At 56.3% G+C, this 15,897-nt stretch overlaps 1 protein-coding gene across 4 annotated transcripts in view, besides 12 other annotated features; it reads right to left on the reverse strand.

Annotated features, from left to right (window-relative positions):
- GPR132 (G protein-coupled receptor 132) overlaps positions 1-8,869 on the reverse strand; it is a 16,036-nt gene extending 7,167 nt beyond the window's left edge. For 2 of the 4 annotated variants that reach the window (NM_001278695.2, NM_013345.4), the window contains exons 1-2: positions 8,818-8,869; positions 606-719 (exon numbers count right to left, since the gene is read on the reverse strand). In NM_001278695.2, coding sequence (NP_001265624.1) covers positions 606-612 — 7 coding nt within the window. In that variant the 5' untranslated portion in view covers positions 613-719; positions 8,818-8,869. Of the gene's footprint in view, positions 1-605; positions 720-1,376; positions 1,467-8,817 lie in introns of all 4 variants that reach the window. The other 2 variants (NM_001278694.2, NM_001278696.2) reach the window with 2 other exon arrangements.
- Positions 4,653-4,702: an enhancer, noted in NCBI's record as "active region_9130". NCBI's record gives its function as "activates an Ori minimal core promoter by ATAC-STARR-seq in GM12878 lymphoblastoid cells {active_cell/tissue: GM12878}" and the evidence as "EXISTENCE:reporter gene assay evidence [ECO:0000049][PMID:35858748]".
- Positions 5,093-5,142: an enhancer, noted in NCBI's record as "active region_9131". NCBI's record gives its function as "activates an Ori minimal core promoter by ATAC-STARR-seq in GM12878 lymphoblastoid cells {active_cell/tissue: GM12878}" and the evidence as "EXISTENCE:reporter gene assay evidence [ECO:0000049][PMID:35858748]".
- Positions 5,343-5,492: an enhancer, noted in NCBI's record as "active region_9132". NCBI's record gives its function as "activates an Ori minimal core promoter by ATAC-STARR-seq in GM12878 lymphoblastoid cells {active_cell/tissue: GM12878}" and the evidence as "EXISTENCE:reporter gene assay evidence [ECO:0000049][PMID:35858748]".
- Positions 7,088-7,147: an enhancer, noted in NCBI's record as "active region_9133". NCBI's record gives its function as "activates an Ori minimal core promoter by ATAC-STARR-seq in GM12878 lymphoblastoid cells {active_cell/tissue: GM12878}" and the evidence as "EXISTENCE:reporter gene assay evidence [ECO:0000049][PMID:35858748]".
- Positions 7,348-7,447: an enhancer, noted in NCBI's record as "active region_9134". NCBI's record gives its function as "activates an Ori minimal core promoter by ATAC-STARR-seq in GM12878 lymphoblastoid cells {active_cell/tissue: GM12878}" and the evidence as "EXISTENCE:reporter gene assay evidence [ECO:0000049][PMID:35858748]".
- Positions 7,558-7,697: an enhancer, noted in NCBI's record as "active region_9135". NCBI's record gives its function as "activates an Ori minimal core promoter by ATAC-STARR-seq in GM12878 lymphoblastoid cells {active_cell/tissue: GM12878}" and the evidence as "EXISTENCE:reporter gene assay evidence [ECO:0000049][PMID:35858748]".
- Positions 9,375-9,892: an enhancer, noted in NCBI's record as "H3K4me1 hESC enhancer chr14:105532273-105532790 (GRCh37/hg19 assembly coordinates)". NCBI's record gives its function as "activates a minimal SCP1, AML or CMV promoter by ChIP-STARR-seq in naive H9 embryonic stem cells {active_cell/tissue: H9 hESC(naive)}" and the evidence as "EXISTENCE:reporter gene assay evidence [ECO:0000049][PMID:30033119]".
- Positions 9,568-9,737: an enhancer, noted in NCBI's record as "active region_9136". NCBI's record gives its function as "activates an Ori minimal core promoter by ATAC-STARR-seq in GM12878 lymphoblastoid cells {active_cell/tissue: GM12878}" and the evidence as "EXISTENCE:reporter gene assay evidence [ECO:0000049][PMID:35858748]".
- Positions 9,948-10,017: an enhancer, noted in NCBI's record as "active region_9137". NCBI's record gives its function as "activates an Ori minimal core promoter by ATAC-STARR-seq in GM12878 lymphoblastoid cells {active_cell/tissue: GM12878}" and the evidence as "EXISTENCE:reporter gene assay evidence [ECO:0000049][PMID:35858748]".
- Positions 12,986-13,155: an enhancer, noted in NCBI's record as "active region_9138". NCBI's record gives its function as "activates an Ori minimal core promoter by ATAC-STARR-seq in GM12878 lymphoblastoid cells {active_cell/tissue: GM12878}" and the evidence as "EXISTENCE:reporter gene assay evidence [ECO:0000049][PMID:35858748]".
- Positions 13,197-14,396: an enhancer, noted in NCBI's record as "BRD4-independent group 4 enhancer chr14:105536095-105537294 (GRCh37/hg19 assembly coordinates)". NCBI's record gives its function as "activates an origin of replication core promoter dependent on BRD2, P300/CBP, MED14 and CDK7 cofactors, and independent of BRD4, by STARR-seq in HCT116 cells {active_cell/tissue: HCT116}" and the evidence as "EXISTENCE:reporter gene assay evidence [ECO:0000049][PMID:35650434]".
- Positions 13,456-13,735: an enhancer, noted in NCBI's record as "active region_9139". NCBI's record gives its function as "activates an Ori minimal core promoter by ATAC-STARR-seq in GM12878 lymphoblastoid cells {active_cell/tissue: GM12878}" and the evidence as "EXISTENCE:reporter gene assay evidence [ECO:0000049][PMID:35858748]".

Consider the following 15,897-nt stretch of genomic DNA (forward strand, 5'->3'; position numbering starts at 1 on the left):
CTACGGCTCCCCCACCCCACACATCGTCGCCCGTGCGGTCTCAGTCAGGGCCTCGGTGCCCCTCAGTCCCGCACCCCCTGCTCCAGGCCTCACGCAGCCTTGGGACCTTCACCTCTGGACACCAGGTCCGTGGTGTCTGTGGCTCTGTGCCCATCTGGTGAGGAGGCTGTCCCCCGCTCCCCCGCCTCCTGCCACAAGTGACCTCCTGGGAAGAGAGCCTTCCTGGTGGGTCAGAAGTAGGGGCAACGGCACCAGGAGACGCATGGATGCGGGGGGCTGGTGGTCAGCTCCTCATGGCCCAGACCGTGCAGGGCTCCCCTGGGACCTGTGGGACAGCCCCCTGACTCAGTACTGTGTCGCCCTCCCAGGAGCCACCAACTATGCCCTCATTCCCGTTCCTGGCTTCCCAGAACTTCACGAAAGAATTATGAAATCAGTCCTTCATTTCTCCATGTAGCACCTCTAGATTTATTATTGCTGAGCTAGTTTTTATCTCGATAATCTATTTTTATGCGTTAATTTTTGAATTATGAGACAACATGCTTCATGGAAAAATTCTCATGGGCTTCCTCTTACATGTTCAAAGTCGGAGAAGGCTCTCTCACCTGGCATATTTTGCGGGTTCCAATCTCAGTGTGGCTCTAAGATAAGCTTTCTAAGTACATGTCATGCGTCTTGTCGGTCCTATCAAGACGTTCACTCTGAGAGTTTAAAATGACCTGGAAAAAGAGTAGGTTGAAATTGTTTTAGGGAAATCAGATTGAGTCACAAGTTAACCCATTGACAAACGGCTAGTGAGTATTTACTAATTTACTAAGTGGCCCGTTGATTCGTAGGTGTTTTTTAAATGTTGAGAATCTGCCGTTGCATCCCACATGAGAAACACAAGCAAGGCTCCAAGCCAACAGGCATCAAAACGTCACATTAGCCACTGCGACTACATACGATTCTTTTTTTTTTTTTTTTTTTTTTTTCTTGAGATGGAGTCTTGCTCTGTCGCCCAGGCTGGAGTGCAGTAGCACAATCTCGGCTCACTGCAACCTCTGCCTCCCGGGTTCAAACTATTCTCCTGCAGCAGCCTCTTGAGTAGCTGGGAGTACAGTCGCCTGCCACCACCCCCAGCTAATTTTTTTTTTTTTTTTTTTGAGACAGAGTCGCACTCTGTTGCCCAGGCTGGAGTGCAATGGCATGATCTCGGCTCACTGCAACCTCCGCCTCCTGGGTTCAAGCGATTCTCCTGTCTTAGCCTCCCAAGTAGCTGGGACTACACACACGCGCCACCATCCCCAGCTAGATTTTGTATTTTTAGTAGAGACGGGGTCTCACCATGTTGGGCAGGCTGGTCTCAAACTCCTGACCTCAAATGATCCACCCACCTCGGCCTCCCAAAGTGCTGGGATTACAGGCGTAAGCCACCGCACCTGGCCTAGGTACTCTTCTTGTTTGTCAATTATACCTTTATAAAGCTGGGAGAGAAAAGAAAGTTGATGAGCTTTCACAGAAAACATAAAAATAGCTCCTAAAGGCCAGGTGTGGTAACTCATGGCTGTAAATCCCAGCCCTTTGAGAAGCTGAGGTGGGAGGATAGCTGGAGTCCAGGAGTTCAAGACCAGCCTGGGCAATATAGTAACACCCCACACCTACAAAAATATAAACAGGCATGATGGTGCACACGTGTAGTCCCAGCTACCCAGGAGGCTGAGTTGGGAGGATCGCTTGAGCCCAGGAGGTAGGGGTTGCAGTGAGCTGTGACTGAGCTGCTGCACTCCGGCCTGGCTACAGAGAGAGACCCCGTCTCAAGAAAAAAGAAAAGCTCCTAAAATCTGAAAAATGTTCAACTCCACTTCTAATCAAAGAAATGCAAACATGAATATCTGAAAGACAGTCTTTTAAAATCTTTTTTTGGCCTATCATGTTGGCAAAAATAAAGACCTTTTAAACTCATAGTGTTTGAGAGTAGGCAATGGGTGCCCGTACACGGGACTGACGGAAGTATGAATTGGCTCGCAGCAAAATTTTGCAATATGTTTCCAAAAATCTCAAATGTGCTCTACTTTTGACCTGGCTGATCCCCTTCTAGGAATTTTTCCTGGCTACCCGAGGTGTGACGTGCACATGGCCTGGAAGCTGTGTCACCCACAGCATGAGGGGCCCGGAGGAGGGAGGCATGATGGGCGGGCAGCAGATGGCTCAGGGCATGCAGGGGGGTGGCGCAAGGCGCCCAGGGGCCTGTCCCTCTGCTTCCTTCCCTAACCTGAGGTGCCTCTAAAACAGGCACCACCCTGACCAGCCAAAGAGGGTTTGCAGGGAGGAGAGCGCCCTAAACCCATCCTCAGATGGTGTTTGTGCCTCTCCCACAGCCCTGCAAAGCCTGAGGGTCTCGCTCTGCTGTTTCCGGGCCCTGCAGTGCAGGGATAGAGGCTGAGCCTGGCGGCTGCCTCACTAGCTCCAATCCTGCCTCCCTGGTGCCAGGCCCAACCCCCACCCCATGCTGCCTGGTGCTGCCCTCTATCAGCCGAGACCCTCATGGGAAGCCAGCAGGTGCAGTCAGTCTCCCAGTGCACACTCCCCTCCCAGGGCAGGGCCGGCCCGGCTGCGGGCAGAGCCCCTACACAGCAAGGCCCCTTTGGGCCCGAGGCCTGTATGTTGAGAGGCTGGCCAGGGGCACTCCCTGGAGCCACTTGCTCTTCCCGCCCATCCCACGTGGCTCTTGCAGGAATTCTCTGGAAGCTGCTCAAAAGTGAGGCAGAACCCAGGGACACCCACACCAAGGGCTCTGGGCCAGCAGGTGGGGCTGCCTGTGTGTTGACATCCCCAGCTGCCCTTTCAAGTATATTTCTGTGAAAGGAAAGTATCTTGGGCCCCTTCAAGCTGGGAACTGCTCAGCGCCGATCTGCCTGGCGTTCTATTCAGTCATCCCTCTGCTCACTGAGACAGATGCATATTCTGATGCCTCCTTTGGAGAGACTTATCAGAAACTGAAAACAATGCAACCATTTGTCTCTCGCCTACCTGTGTAGGCGAGAGACAAATGGTTGGGAAGCCCCCTCCCTGCTTCGAGTTGTCCCCACCTTTCTGGACGGAACCAATGTACGTCTCACATATATTGATTGATGTCTCTTGTCTCCCTAAAATGCATGAAACCAGGCTGCGCCCGACCACCCTGGGCACGTCATCAGGACTTCCTGAGGCTGTGTCACAGACGCGTGTCCTCAACTTTAGCAAATAAACCTCCTAAAATGATTGAGACTTGTCTCGACGTTTTTTAACAACTGGAAAAACAGGAAGCCACAATGTTCTCCTGAGATTACAGGAAGCTTGTTAACTTATGGAGAATTTTAAAGCAATACCTTGAAAACACATGAAAAAGTGAGACACTGAGTCAAGAAAGAAACAAGAAAAGCCATCTCCAAAGTGATGCCCCCTTGGCGGTGGGTGGTGTGGGCCGGAGGGGTTCCTGGGCTACCCATTCTGCCACCACCCTGCCACTGGCTGGAGTAAGTATGCACTGCTCCCTGCATCTCGGGCCAGCCCCCTGAGTGGAGATGGTGGGGCAGCGCTGAGGGTCTTCAGACTCTCCCTCGGGTGCCTGTGTGCTGGGCGCTGCCCTCCCAGCTGCTGCTCTGCCAAGATCCGTGTGGCCCTGTCGTCTGGCTGCTGCGCCCAGCTCCAAGGCCCAGCAAGAGATGCAGGGCTCTCTGGCCATGCCCAAAACAGAGGGGTCAGTAGGTGAGGAAGCAGTGAGCCGGAACCAGGAGGGCCAAGGAAGGCAGACCCCCAGCCAGGCAGGGGGCCCAAGTGGGCTGGGGGCATGTCAGAGCCACCTGAGACCAGTCCTGTTCCTTCTGAGCCCCGGGGGTGTGGGGGGCCCGACCAGCCTCACACTGGGCCTGGCTTCCCTCCTCAGCTGCCGAGTCCCCTTCAGTGGCCCTAGAAGCCCACATACTCTTGCTCGCTGGTGTCTACTCCGATTCTGCAGCCGCCCCCTCCCCACCTTTCAAATTCTGAATAACACGAGGCAGGGACCTCTCCTGTCAAATGAGCAGGAGTGAGCACATGGAGCCACTGCCTGAGGCCCCTGGGCCCCATCAGAACGCCTGAGCCGCCCAGGAAGGGGCTCCCGGGGAGTCTGCCTCCTTCACTTTAACTGGACCAAGGGTTCTGGAAACCCTCCCAAACCTGGGAGGATGAACTCTTGCTGGTCCAGGGCTGTGCCGCCCAGTCACGCCAATGCCAGCCGGCAACCCTGGGTCAGAGGGCTGCAAGCACTTCTGCAAAACCAAAGGAAGTGGCAGCTGCAGTGGAAATGCACGCTCCCCTCCCGGGCCCCAGCCGCAGGCAGAGGCTCACAGCGAGGCCCCTCTGGGATCCAGGCCTGTATGTTGAGAGCAGAGACTAGCCAGGGGCAGAGCCGGAGCCACCTTCCCATCCAGCTGGTCCCATGCGGCCCATGCAGCGTGAGCTGCTGACGTCCAGATCCCGCCACGTGCCTGACCTTTGGGCACCACAGCCTGGCGAGGATGCCTGGAAAGAGTCAGTGGGCCCAGCAGGAGGCCCGGTGGGAACAACCCAAGGCAGGGCAGCCGGAGAGCCGGGTCCACTGGGACGTCCCGACTCCCTCGCACCGAGGTCCAGCTCCTCACCACGCATGGCCAACCAGGCTTGGGCGCCGGGGGAGCCCTGCACCAGCCCTTTGCTTATCAGAGCACATCCAGGCTTTGTCTGGCATTCCCTGCCGGACAGGCCCACAGCCTCAGGCAGCCCACCGGCCTCTTCCGAGGGCCTTCCTGGACCAGGGTCCGGGGTCCCGCCAGCACCTGCTCACCATCCTTTTGCCGCACCTGCTACTCCTACTGCCCCTGGGAGCCTCTGCCTCCCCTCGGGGTGAGTGAGCTCAGGATAGGGGCTCAGGGCCCTCTCTCCGGCCAGCCCAGTGGCCCCACCCGCCAGCTGCAGTGTCGCGGTCTGTCCTGGCCCGGGGCCAGGGCTGTTTCCTCCACAGAAAGGGGCGTGGGGTACAGCAGGTCACCCACATTTCAGGCCCTGCTCTTCCTCGGGGAGGGTGCAGTGGGGCCCGGGCCCTCTCTCAGCTTCCCCTGGGGCTGGGTCTTCAAGTGGAAGGACAAGGCCAGGCAGAGGCTTCCTGTGTTGTTCCACTCAGGAAGCAGGCACCACCCTCCTGGGGGGGGGGAGTCCCTCCTGGGCTGTGCATGGGGACCGTCCCTTCCTCTCATCGCCCCAGCTGTCTGGCCCACCAGTGGGGCTCCTCTCAGCTGTGGGGTGGGTGGGAGTGACTGAGCCCTGTGGGAAAGGTCCCCGGTGCAGACTTTCACTTCTGAAACAGCAGCAAGGTGCTCCCAGCCTGCCGGAGGCTTGGGTAGGGGATAGCCCACCATGCTCACAGCACCAGCAATGCCAGCCTGGCCTGGTGGACTCCAGGGGACTCTGTTCTTGATCTGCTCTGAGGGACTATGACAGGCAGAGGCCCCGCTATCACCATCCAACTCCAACTGGATTCAGGGCAGCGTGGCCAGACATGATGGCCATGGTGAGGTCCCTCGGATGACTCCAGCCACAAGACCACAGTGTGTGTGGGCCCAGGTCAGCCTGACACCCCCGTCCACCCATCCCTGAGCTCCAGCTGCATCTCCTGTCCCTGCTGGCCCTGGGCCCCTGCCTCCACCTCACATCAGCAAATGACCAAGCCCCTCATCACCCAGCCTCCATGCTGGGCAAATGTGTCCCTGTCCAGCTCCATCTTCAAGCCACACCTTGGCAGCCCACTGAGGCCAGCCCTCCACTGCTCCCTGGACTTCTCTCTCCTGTGTCCAACCCGCCTTTCTCCCACTCAGCGTGTCAGCTCCGAGGCTGCTCTGCCTCACACTTTCCGTGCTTCTTCCATGAACCCATGTTTTCTCTTTCTTTTTTTCTTTTGCCTTTTTTGCCTTTTCTTTCTTTTCTTTCTTTTCTTTTCTTTTCTTTTTTTTTTTTTTTTTTGAGATGGAGTCTTGCTCTGTTGCCCAGGCTGGAGTAAAGTGGCGCGATCTTGGCTCACTGCAACCTCTACCTCCCAGGTTCAAGCAATTCTCCTGCCTCAGCCTCCCGAGTGGTTGGGACTACAGGCACACCACCACGTCCAGCTACTTTTTTTGTATTTTTAGTAGAAACAGGGTTTTGCCATGTTGCCTAGGCAGGTCTTGAACTCCTGGGCTCCAATGATCCTCCTGCCTCAGCCTCCCAAAGTGCTGGGATTACGGTGTGAGCCACTACGCCCAGCTTTTTTTTCTTTAAATACTATTAAAATTGTTCTCTCTCTCTCTCCCTAACCCTCTCCCTCTCTCTCTTGCTTTATTTGTTTGTTTGTTTGTTTATTTATTTATTTGGAGACAGGGTCTTGCTCCCTCATCCAGGCTGGAGTACAGTGGCAAAATCTCTGCTCACTGAAACCTCCACCTCCCAGGCTCACATCATCCTCCCTTCCGAGTAACTGGGACTACAGGCACCTGCTGCCATGCCCAGTTAATTTTTGTACTTTTATTCTTAGAGACGAGGTTTCCCTATGTTACCCAGGCTGGTCTCGAGCTCCTGGGCTCAAGAAATCCGCCGGCCTCGGTCTCCGAAAGTGCTGGGAATACAGGCGTGAGCCACCATGCCCGGCCAATGAATCCATTTTCCAGATTAGAGAAGCACCACATGTTCCTGGGATGGACATTTCAATAACAGGATCTAGCATGACCTCACCCAGCCACTGTCCCTGGAGCTCTCTGGCCTGCAAGTTGCTGTGCTCCTCCAGTCTTTTAAAATCTATTTTGTAACTTTTTTTTTTTTTTTAGGCTGAGTTTCTCTCTCGTTGCCCAGGCTGGAGTGCAATAGCACGATCTTGGCTCACTGCAACCTCTGCCTCCCGGGTTCAAGTGATTCTCCTGCCTCAGCCTCTGAAGTAGCTGGGATTAGCAGGCGCCTGCCACCATGCCCGGCTAATTTTTTGTATTTTTAGTAGAGAAGGGGTTTCGCCATATTGGTCAGGCTGGTCTTGAACTCCTGACCTCAGGTGATCCGCCCGCCTCGGCCTCCTAAAGTGCTGGGATTACAGGTGTGAGCCACCACGCCCAGCCTGTTTTGTAACTTATGATGGAACTTTTCAGACAGACACAAAAGGACAGAGAAGGAGCCCTGGCCCCTGCCATGTGCAGGGAGCAGTTCCTCATTCCAGCCCATTTGTCAAAAACAGCTCCTCAGGCTGCTGAGGTCTGTCTTGTGGACTATCTGTAATTTCTTTCTTTCTTTTTTTTTTTGAGACAGAGTTTCGCTCTCGTTGCCCAGGCTGGAGTGCAATGGCACGATCTCGGCTCACCACAACCTCCACCTCCTGGGTTCAAGTGAGTCTCCTGCCTCAGCCTCCCAAGTAAATGGGATTACAGGCGTGTGCCACCACGCCCGGCTAATTTTGTATTTTTAGTAGAGACAGGGTTTCACCATATTGGTTACGCTGGTCTCGAACTCCTGACCTCAGGTGATCCACCTGCCTTGGCCTCCCAAAGTGCTGGGATTACAGGCGTAAGCCACCGCACCTGGCTGGATTGCCTGTAATTTCTAAGCTGTTTCACGGTTGCTGGCCATTCCTAGCCATTTCCGTCTTTTACTCCCACCTGCTTTGGCACCAGGCAAACCTATGACCTCTTTTCTGCCGTCACGTTTGAGACAAACCCTAGGGAGGGAAATGTGGAGTCACCAGCTCCAACCTCCCTGCTCCACCACACCCATCCAAAGCCCATTGTCAACTTTCTTATTTTTCCCAATTTGATAGTGTTGCCCAGGCTAGAGTGCAATGGCGCGATCTCGGCTCACTGCAAGCTCCGCCTCTCAGGTTCAAGCGATTCTCCTGCCTCGGCCTCCCAAGTAGCTGGGATTACAGACGTGTGCCAACACGCCCGGCTAATTTTTGTATTTTTAGTAGAGACAGGGTATCACCATGTTGGTCAGGCTGGTCTCAAACTCCTGACCTCAAGTGATCCGCCCACCTCGGCCTCCCAAAGTGCTGGGATTACAGGCATGAACCACCGTGCCCAGCCCCTATCCTCATCTTCTTCCAGGAGCCTCTGCTCTCCCACCTCGGCCTGGCCAATCTCCTGAAATATCATTTTGTGCTCAGCCCAACTGGCCAGTCTTCAGTGGTCAGTCCCAGTCCCTTGCAGTGGTACAGACCCACGTCATGCACTTGACAGAAGGTATTGGGCCCCCCGCCCCGCTGTGCCTGGTGCGCCGAACGCCACTCCAAAGGCCGGTGACCTGCCCAGCTCCAGGATCTTGTCACGTGACTGGGCCAACTGCCACTCACCGCAGCACAGCCCCCACTGCCCTGCTTTTCCCTCTGTGTAACCCCACAAGCAGCACAGGCCCCACAGAGAGAAGCCCAGCCCTTCAGTGCCCCCCGACCAATCACGGAAGCAAGTGGCCAAGGAGAGATTCCAGGGACAAAGTCCAGCCCCCTGACTCACCCCCATCTGGACCAGTAGCCAGGGAAGCCTTTTCCAGAAGAAAGTCTCCAGGAAGGTGGCGGTGACAAAGATACAATGGAAACTGTTGTCCCTCTCCCCCAAATCCTCCGGCCCCATCACATCTGTGGTCACTGGGGGTCCTGGGTTCTCTCGGGAGGGACCCCAGATTAAGAACCCTCAACAAAGCCTCCATCTTTACCAACAAATCACCTTTGCCTTCAGATCCCCCTCTGCCCGCCTCCAGCTCCCAGCCCCCAGCCCCATCCCAGAGCCTGGCCCCCCAGGCCCACTCCCCAGCACGCAGAGCCCAGCGACTTACCCAGGGCCCCGCCTGCGTGGCTAGCCTCGCACCCCTCCCTGCAGTCCTAGCTGAGGTTTCAGGAAGTAGCAGGGGTCTAATTATGTTCTGTCTAGAACTCCCCTAACCACAAACAGGGCTGAGCTAGGGGTTAGCCAACCGGGCTGGGGTATCTTACTGGTGATGACAGCATGGCCTCGTCACCTTCCTGAGGGAGGGAGTGGCAGGAAACCCCAGTCTTACCTCTTTTAGCAATAGCAGCACTCAGAGCCAGGCTCCACTCACTCAGGAGCTCCCAGGCAGGTGCTGGGGCCTGGCGCGGCACAGCGGCTGTCCGTGTGTCCCCAGACAGGCAAGGCAGGACAGGGGTCCTGGAAAGGCTGCAGGGAGGGGTCCTGGAAAGACAAAATCCAGCTCCTCTGCAGCTCAGGCCTGGTGTTGCCCACTCTCGGGCCAGGCAAGCACGGAGCAGGGTGACTTCCCAGAGGCTGTGTCCTCCCAGGAGTCCCTGTCCGGGGTGCCAGGAGTAGAGAGGCTGAGTGCGCCCACTGCAGCCCCGGGACCAGGATGGCACCTGCATGTCCTGGAAGGCTCGGCACAGCCACTGCACACAAGCACCCTCCCCTCCCCGCCTCCCTCTTCCTACATGGGGCAGGGCCGTGTGGGAAGAACAGCCTACTGCACACTCCACATTCCTCCCCCAGCCCTACCTCAACCCCTCCTGCATCCAGAACCAAGCCTGGCCTGGCCCAGGAGCCCTGCGGGTGGGCTTCTCTGTGAGGGGCCCTGTGGGAACTGGAGGGTGGGCAGGCAGGGTTGCCTGGGACAGTCCCCCTCACTGTGGGGCTTCCGGCCATGATGGGCCCAGTTTCCTTGGACAAAGCCAGCTGGCTGTGGACAGCACCTACAACTCCACTCACCTCCAGGCTGCTTCTGAGTTTCAGGGCACAGACCCACCCTGGTGCCCACTCCCGAGCCTGCCAAGCTCCATCCAAGCCAGGCTCTTTCAGCAGTGGGGACAGGGCCGGGCTGAGGGAAGGAGCTGGGGACCACAAATGTCTCCAAGCGACACTGCCCAGCACCGCAGCAGGGACGGTCACTGAGCGAAGAAGCCGCCATCCTGGGTGGGTACACCCACGGCCAGGAGAGGCCGGTGGAGGCCGAGCCCCCAGTCTACACTTTCCCCCAGACACGTGGATCACAGCTGCCCCCTGCTGCAGGGCCGCATGGCTGGAGGCTGCCTCCGAACAGCGATTTCAGAGGGTTTTGTGTGGGTGGCAGTGGAGTCCCTGGAAAGCTGGGCTTTCCCATTGCCCTGGCGGGGAGGCGCAGGTCTCAGGGCAGGGCCTACCTTGGCTTTCCAGAAACACTTGCCCAGGGGACAGTGATCCTCTAGGGGATCTGGTGCAAACACACGCCTCCACAGGCCACTGCTCATGGGGTCACTGGCCTCCCGGGTCTTTGGGCCAGGGCAGCCCCACCCTCGGAGCAGCAATAGACGAAGCCCACATCAGGCCAGTGGGGGTGATGGCCAGGGACAGCTGTGGGTTCCTGTCGCTGGCCCCAGCAGCCTCCTAGGACCTGCCCCGTCCTGCGCCCCACTGGGTGGTCTGTCACGTTCACCAGGCCTCCTCTGCGCCCCCGGTGAGGGGTCCAGGAGTGACATGCGGACCCGGCTCAGGCCATTGTCACCCTCCATGCCTTCTGGCCTTTGCCAGGCAGTCCGGGAATAGCCGATTCAAGTGAGGTCAGTTGAATCCTCTCTTTGGGTCCTTCACTGGGGTCTGGGAAAGGAAAGTTGGGTCCCTTGGGTGGCAGGAGCTGTGGGTATGAACTGGGGGGTTGGCAGCCGTGTACCGGCTCCCCTGCCCCTGCCAGGTGGAGAAGCCAGGCTGGGGTGGAGGGCAGGCAGGAGCCTGGGAGTCCAAACACTGACAGCCTGGGGGTGTGGACTGGCCCTGCCTATTCCCACCGGGCCTTCGGGACCAGTGGAGGCTGCCCCGGGCTGTGCGGCACCTGGGGTGTTGTCTCTGAGAAGCCCGTCAGGGAGATGGCTCTCCCTGCTCTGACCCCAGCAAAGCGATTCATACCCAGAGAATCCCTCACCAACAGGAGAGCAGGTTTCAGACAGGAAGTCACCCGAACATCCCACGGCTGAGTCACGTGCCAGAACAGCTCCCTGCGGCCCAGACACAGCAGTGGTGAGGTCCAAGCTGCAGACATGGGGTACAACTTCACATCCCGATGTGTGCACCAGAAACCGCCCTGCTGTCCGGTGGGTTCACCAGCCGTTCTCCTGGCCTGTCTGGACCCTGCAGAAGCCAAAGCTGGTGATTGCTTGCTAATTTGTCCAGTCAGTCTGGGAAGGCCTGGGCCCAGGGGGAGACAAGGCCAGGAATAAGGGAAGGGAGGGTCAGAGCAAGAAATGTCCAGGGGGCAAAGTTGGAAGGAGCTGGAAAGATGGGACGAGGGACCCAAAGAGCCCCTGTGCATGGGGCCAGTGTGGTCTGCTCTACCTCCCGGGCAGACACAGGGCCTTGCTCTTGTCTGGCCCTAAAAAACCCTGAATGGCCAGCTCTGGCCTTCCCCACCTGGTGCATCTGGAGCAGAAGTTCCCAAGGGCTACCTTGCATGTGGGGTGCGGCTGTCCCCCAAGCCAGGTGTGACCACGCTGTGGGGGCTTGTGGGGCTGCTCCTCTGGTGACGGCGGCAGGGTTGGGTCGGGGGCCTTTGCTCTATAACTGTAGAGAGACAGTGGCCGGAAGGGTAGGCTTTGAGAGTGGGGGCCCCAGGCCTCCCAGCCTCCCAGGAGGACAGGTGTGGCGGGCAGATGCCCAGATCCCTGTCGGTCCCGTCGCCCAGGCTGGAGTACAATGGTGCAATCTCGGCTCATGCAACCTCCGCCTGCCTGGTTCAAGTGATTCTCCTGCCTCAGCCTCCCAAGTAGCTGGGATTACAGGTGTGTGCCACCACACCCAGTTAATTTTTTGTATCTTTTAATAGAGATAGGGTTTCATTATGTTGGCCAGGCTGGTCTCGAACTCCTGACCTCATGATCTGCCTGCCTCAGCCTCCAAAAGTGCTGGGATTACAGGCGTGAGCCACCACGCCTGGCTTTTTTTTTTTTTTTTTTCGAGACGGAGTTTTGCTCTTGTTGCCCAGGCTGGAGTGCAATGGCAGGAACTTGGCTCACCGCAACCTCCACCTCCCAGGTTCAAGCGATTCTCCCGCCTTAGCCTCTTGAGTCGCTGGGATTACAGGCATGTGCCACCACGCCTGACTAATTTTGTATTATTAGTAGAGACAGGGTTTTGCCATGTTGGTCAGGCTGGTCTCGAACTCCCGACCTCAGGTGATCCTCTCACCTTGGCCTCCCAAAGTGCTGGGATTACAGGTGTGTGCCACTGCACCTGGCCTTCTCTCTTGATTATTAAGGACTCATAGATTTGTATTTTATGGTAAAATACAAGATGAAAATTACACGAGATGAAAATTACCATCTTAGCCATTTCTAAGTGTACCGGTCAGTGGCTCTAAGCACATTCACGCTCTGCAACCGCCCCCACCGTCCATTTTCAGAAATTTTTCATCGTGTAAAACTGAAACTGTCCTCACTACACAGTAACATCCCATTCCTCCCTGCGCCCAGCCCCTTCCACTTTCTGCTCTATACACGCGGCTACTCCGGGTACTTCATCGTAAGCGCAATCACACAGCCTTTGTCCTTTTGTCCTGATGTCTGGCTTATTTTACTTAGTGCAGTGTCCTCAAGTCTCATTCTTGCAGCACGTGTCAGAATTTCCTTCCTTTTTGAGGGTAAATAACATCCCTTCCATGTCTCTGTGTTTAGCCATTCAGGTGTTGATGGGTGGATGTCGCTTGGCTGCTGTGAATATGGGTGTGTGGGATTCATGGACTTTTATATCTTCCAAGTGTTTCTGTCCAACCTAGTCATTATTCTTTTTTTATTTTTATTTTTTCTTGAGATGACGTGTTGCCCTGTGGCCCAGGCTAGAGTGCAGTGGCATGATTTTGGCTCACTGCAACCTCCGCCTCCCGGGTTCAAGCGATTCTCTTGCCTCAGCCTCCCAAGTAGCTGGGATTACAGGCGCCCACCACCACTCCCAGCTAATTTTTATATTTTTAGTAGAGACGGGGTTTCGCCATGTTGGTCAGGCTGGTCTTGAACTCCTGACCTCAGATGATCTGCTCACCTCGGTCTCCCAAAGTGCTGGGACTGTGCTCGGCCCCTAGTCATTATTCTTGATGATGCTCAAATTGTCCCAGATTTGACAAGTCACCCACTCTGCCTCTGTGCTGATGACTATAGGGCAAATCCTGTGTGTCAGTTTCCAGGCACGGAGCCCCCCTCCATCAGGTGTGTCTGTGTATTCACGCCTCGCCGGGCCCCCCTGCTCAGATGGTGATTCCATCCCTCCCTCCATCAGGTGTGTCTGTGTATTCACGTCTCGCCGGGCCCCTCTGCTCAGATGGTGATTCCATCCCTCGGAAGAAGTCTTCCCAGCCTTTTCTGACTCCTTGTTCGCTCCCTTGGAGGAGGGCTCTGTCCTGGCCTCTCCCACCCCTGGGTGTTAGTGATGCAAGCAGGGGGTGGGGACCGGATGACAGGCCAAGTGGGAAGAGGAAAGGCGGAAGTGTCCTGAGGTTTCTGTTGGGGGACAGCTGCTCTGGTAAGAAGGCAAGAGGCCCCAGGTCTCAGCCAGGGAAGGGGTTTTTAGGGAAATTTTGAAGACAGCCTCCCCGAGACAGAAGAGGCAGGGGAAGATAGGGGCTTTTGAGAAGTGTCAACCCAAGAACTGGATCATTCTGAAACTCCTTGTTGCCAGCGCATGTTCCTTTGACCAGGGCATACCCCCAATGTGAATCATGAGTCATGGTTTCAACAGTCATAGTGTGTCCTAGTGAGGCCAGGGAGAGGCTGCCTGTGACCCCAGAAAACCCAGACGACCATGCCTAACCCACCTAATCCACAGAGTTTCCTCTTTCTCAGGGCTGGCACGACAGCCTCCACAGCCATGGGAAGCCCCCAGCCTTACCTCATGGTCCCAGATGGCAACTTGATCTCCAGCCTTCACATCTGTGTTCCAGGAATGAGGAAGGAGCGAAGGAGAGCAGGGCACGGCCCGTCCCCTGTGTGGAGAATTCCCGGAATTCCCACCCAGTTCGCCTGCTCCATCTTCCCTCTTTCCTGGGCCCAACGTAGTCTTGTGACCACATCTGGCAGCGAGGGAGGCTAGGAAACGTAGTCTTTGATGTCACTGCGCCAGCTGATGCTGGGTGTTCTCCTAATCAGGAAGGGGGCGCGGAGTCGGCGATGTGTGCTGCAATGGCACACACTGTCACCAGCTTTTCTTCCACCCAGCAAGGGCAGGTCCCTGGCAGCTGAGCGAGGGGCACGCTGGCCAAGCCCAGGGACTCAATTACCCCAAATGAGAAAAGGGTCAGGGGATGTTGAACTGGGAAGAAGGAGGTGGAGCCCCGAGGCCAGAGAAGCTGGGCGTATGAGAGAAAGCTTTTCTTCCATACTGTAACTCACAACGCCTCTGGCACTTCACTTCTGGGGTTAGGTTAAGGGCTCAGTCACCCGTGACTGCCCTGACTTCAGACACCAGTCATGGAGGGGTGGGTCCCCAGGTTACCCACTACTTCTGAATGCCTTGGCTGTGACAAATGGGAGGTCTGATGACTCTCTCCTCGGGTTCAGTCATTTGCTAGAACAGCTCACAGAGACTAGAACAACTGTTTGTTTCCTACTACTGAATTTTTTTTCTGTCATGCTCTCTCTCAGCAGAATGTTTTATATTATATATATCTATTTTTATTTTACATTTGCAGACAGGTCTGCCTCTGTCACCCAGACTGGAGCACAGTGGTGCAATCTTGGTTCACTGCAACCTCTGCCTCTTGGGCTCAAGCGATCCTCTCACCCCAGCCTCCCAAGTAGCTCGGACTACAGGCATGAGCCGCCACGCCCAGCTAATTTTTGTATTTTTTGTAGAGAGAGGGTCTCACCATGTTGCCCAGGTTGATTTTGAACCCCTGAACTCAAGCGATCTGTCCACCTTGGCCTCCCAAAGGCGTGAGCCACCGCACCCGGCCACTTCTGGCTTATTACTAAAGGAAACAACTCAGCCAGCAGAGATGCTCAGGGCAAGGTATGGGGATGCGGGTGGAGCTCCCACGGCCTCTCCGGGCGCCTCCCTCCGAGAGCCTCCACGCGTGCACCAACCCAGACGCTCTCCAAATCCCATTGTTCTGACTTTTCATGGAGGCTTCATCACACAGGCTTGGTCTCCAGCCCCTCCCTTCCCCAGAGCATGGCGGGTGAGGCCAGAAGTGTCAAGCTGCTCATCGTGGCTTGGTCTTGCTGGCGACCAGCCCCCATCCTGGAGCTACCCAGGAGCCCAGCAAGAGCTGCCTCATTGGAACAAAAGATGCTCCCATCACCTAGGCAAGTCTAAGGGATTAGGAGCTCTGTGTCAGTAATGGGGGACAGAGACCAAATATATATGTCTTATGATGTCATAAGAGGAGCCAAAAGAGGAGAAAAAGATGGAGGAGGAGGAGGAACACCCAGTGGGAGCGGGATTTGGTTCATTGTGAAGGAATTTTCTCCCCACGGGAACCCCGGGAAAACCCACATCAAGCCTTTGCACGCAGGATTGGTGTCAACCACCAAAACCATCCATCCACACTCCCGCCGTCCATCCACACGCCCGCCTGCCCGTCCACACGCCCGCCCGCCCGTCCACACGCCCGCCCGTCCGTCCACATGTCTGACCGTCCGTCCACATGCCCGCCGTCCATCCACATGGCCGCCATCGACTGACGTCAGCAGACCTCAGTATTCCCTGTCTCCATCCACATCACTCGCTCTTCCAGGGCAGTCTTGCCTAGGGAGATGAAGATGGCAAACAACCTTGCTGTTCAGCTCAGGAACTTCCAACATGCAATGGACACTTCTGTAGGAGGCATCAAGCCGTTCTTGGTGATATCTGTGTCTTCATCACGTGCTGGTTGCACGGGTGTTTAGGTAGGAACTCTCTGTGGAGCTGTGGGCATGACTGTGTCTGTGTCTTC

Source organism: Homo sapiens, chromosome 14 (assembly GCF_000001405.40).
Source record: "Homo sapiens chromosome 14, GRCh38.p14 Primary Assembly".
Taxonomy (NCBI): Eukaryota; Metazoa; Chordata; class Mammalia; order Primates; family Hominidae; genus Homo; species Homo sapiens.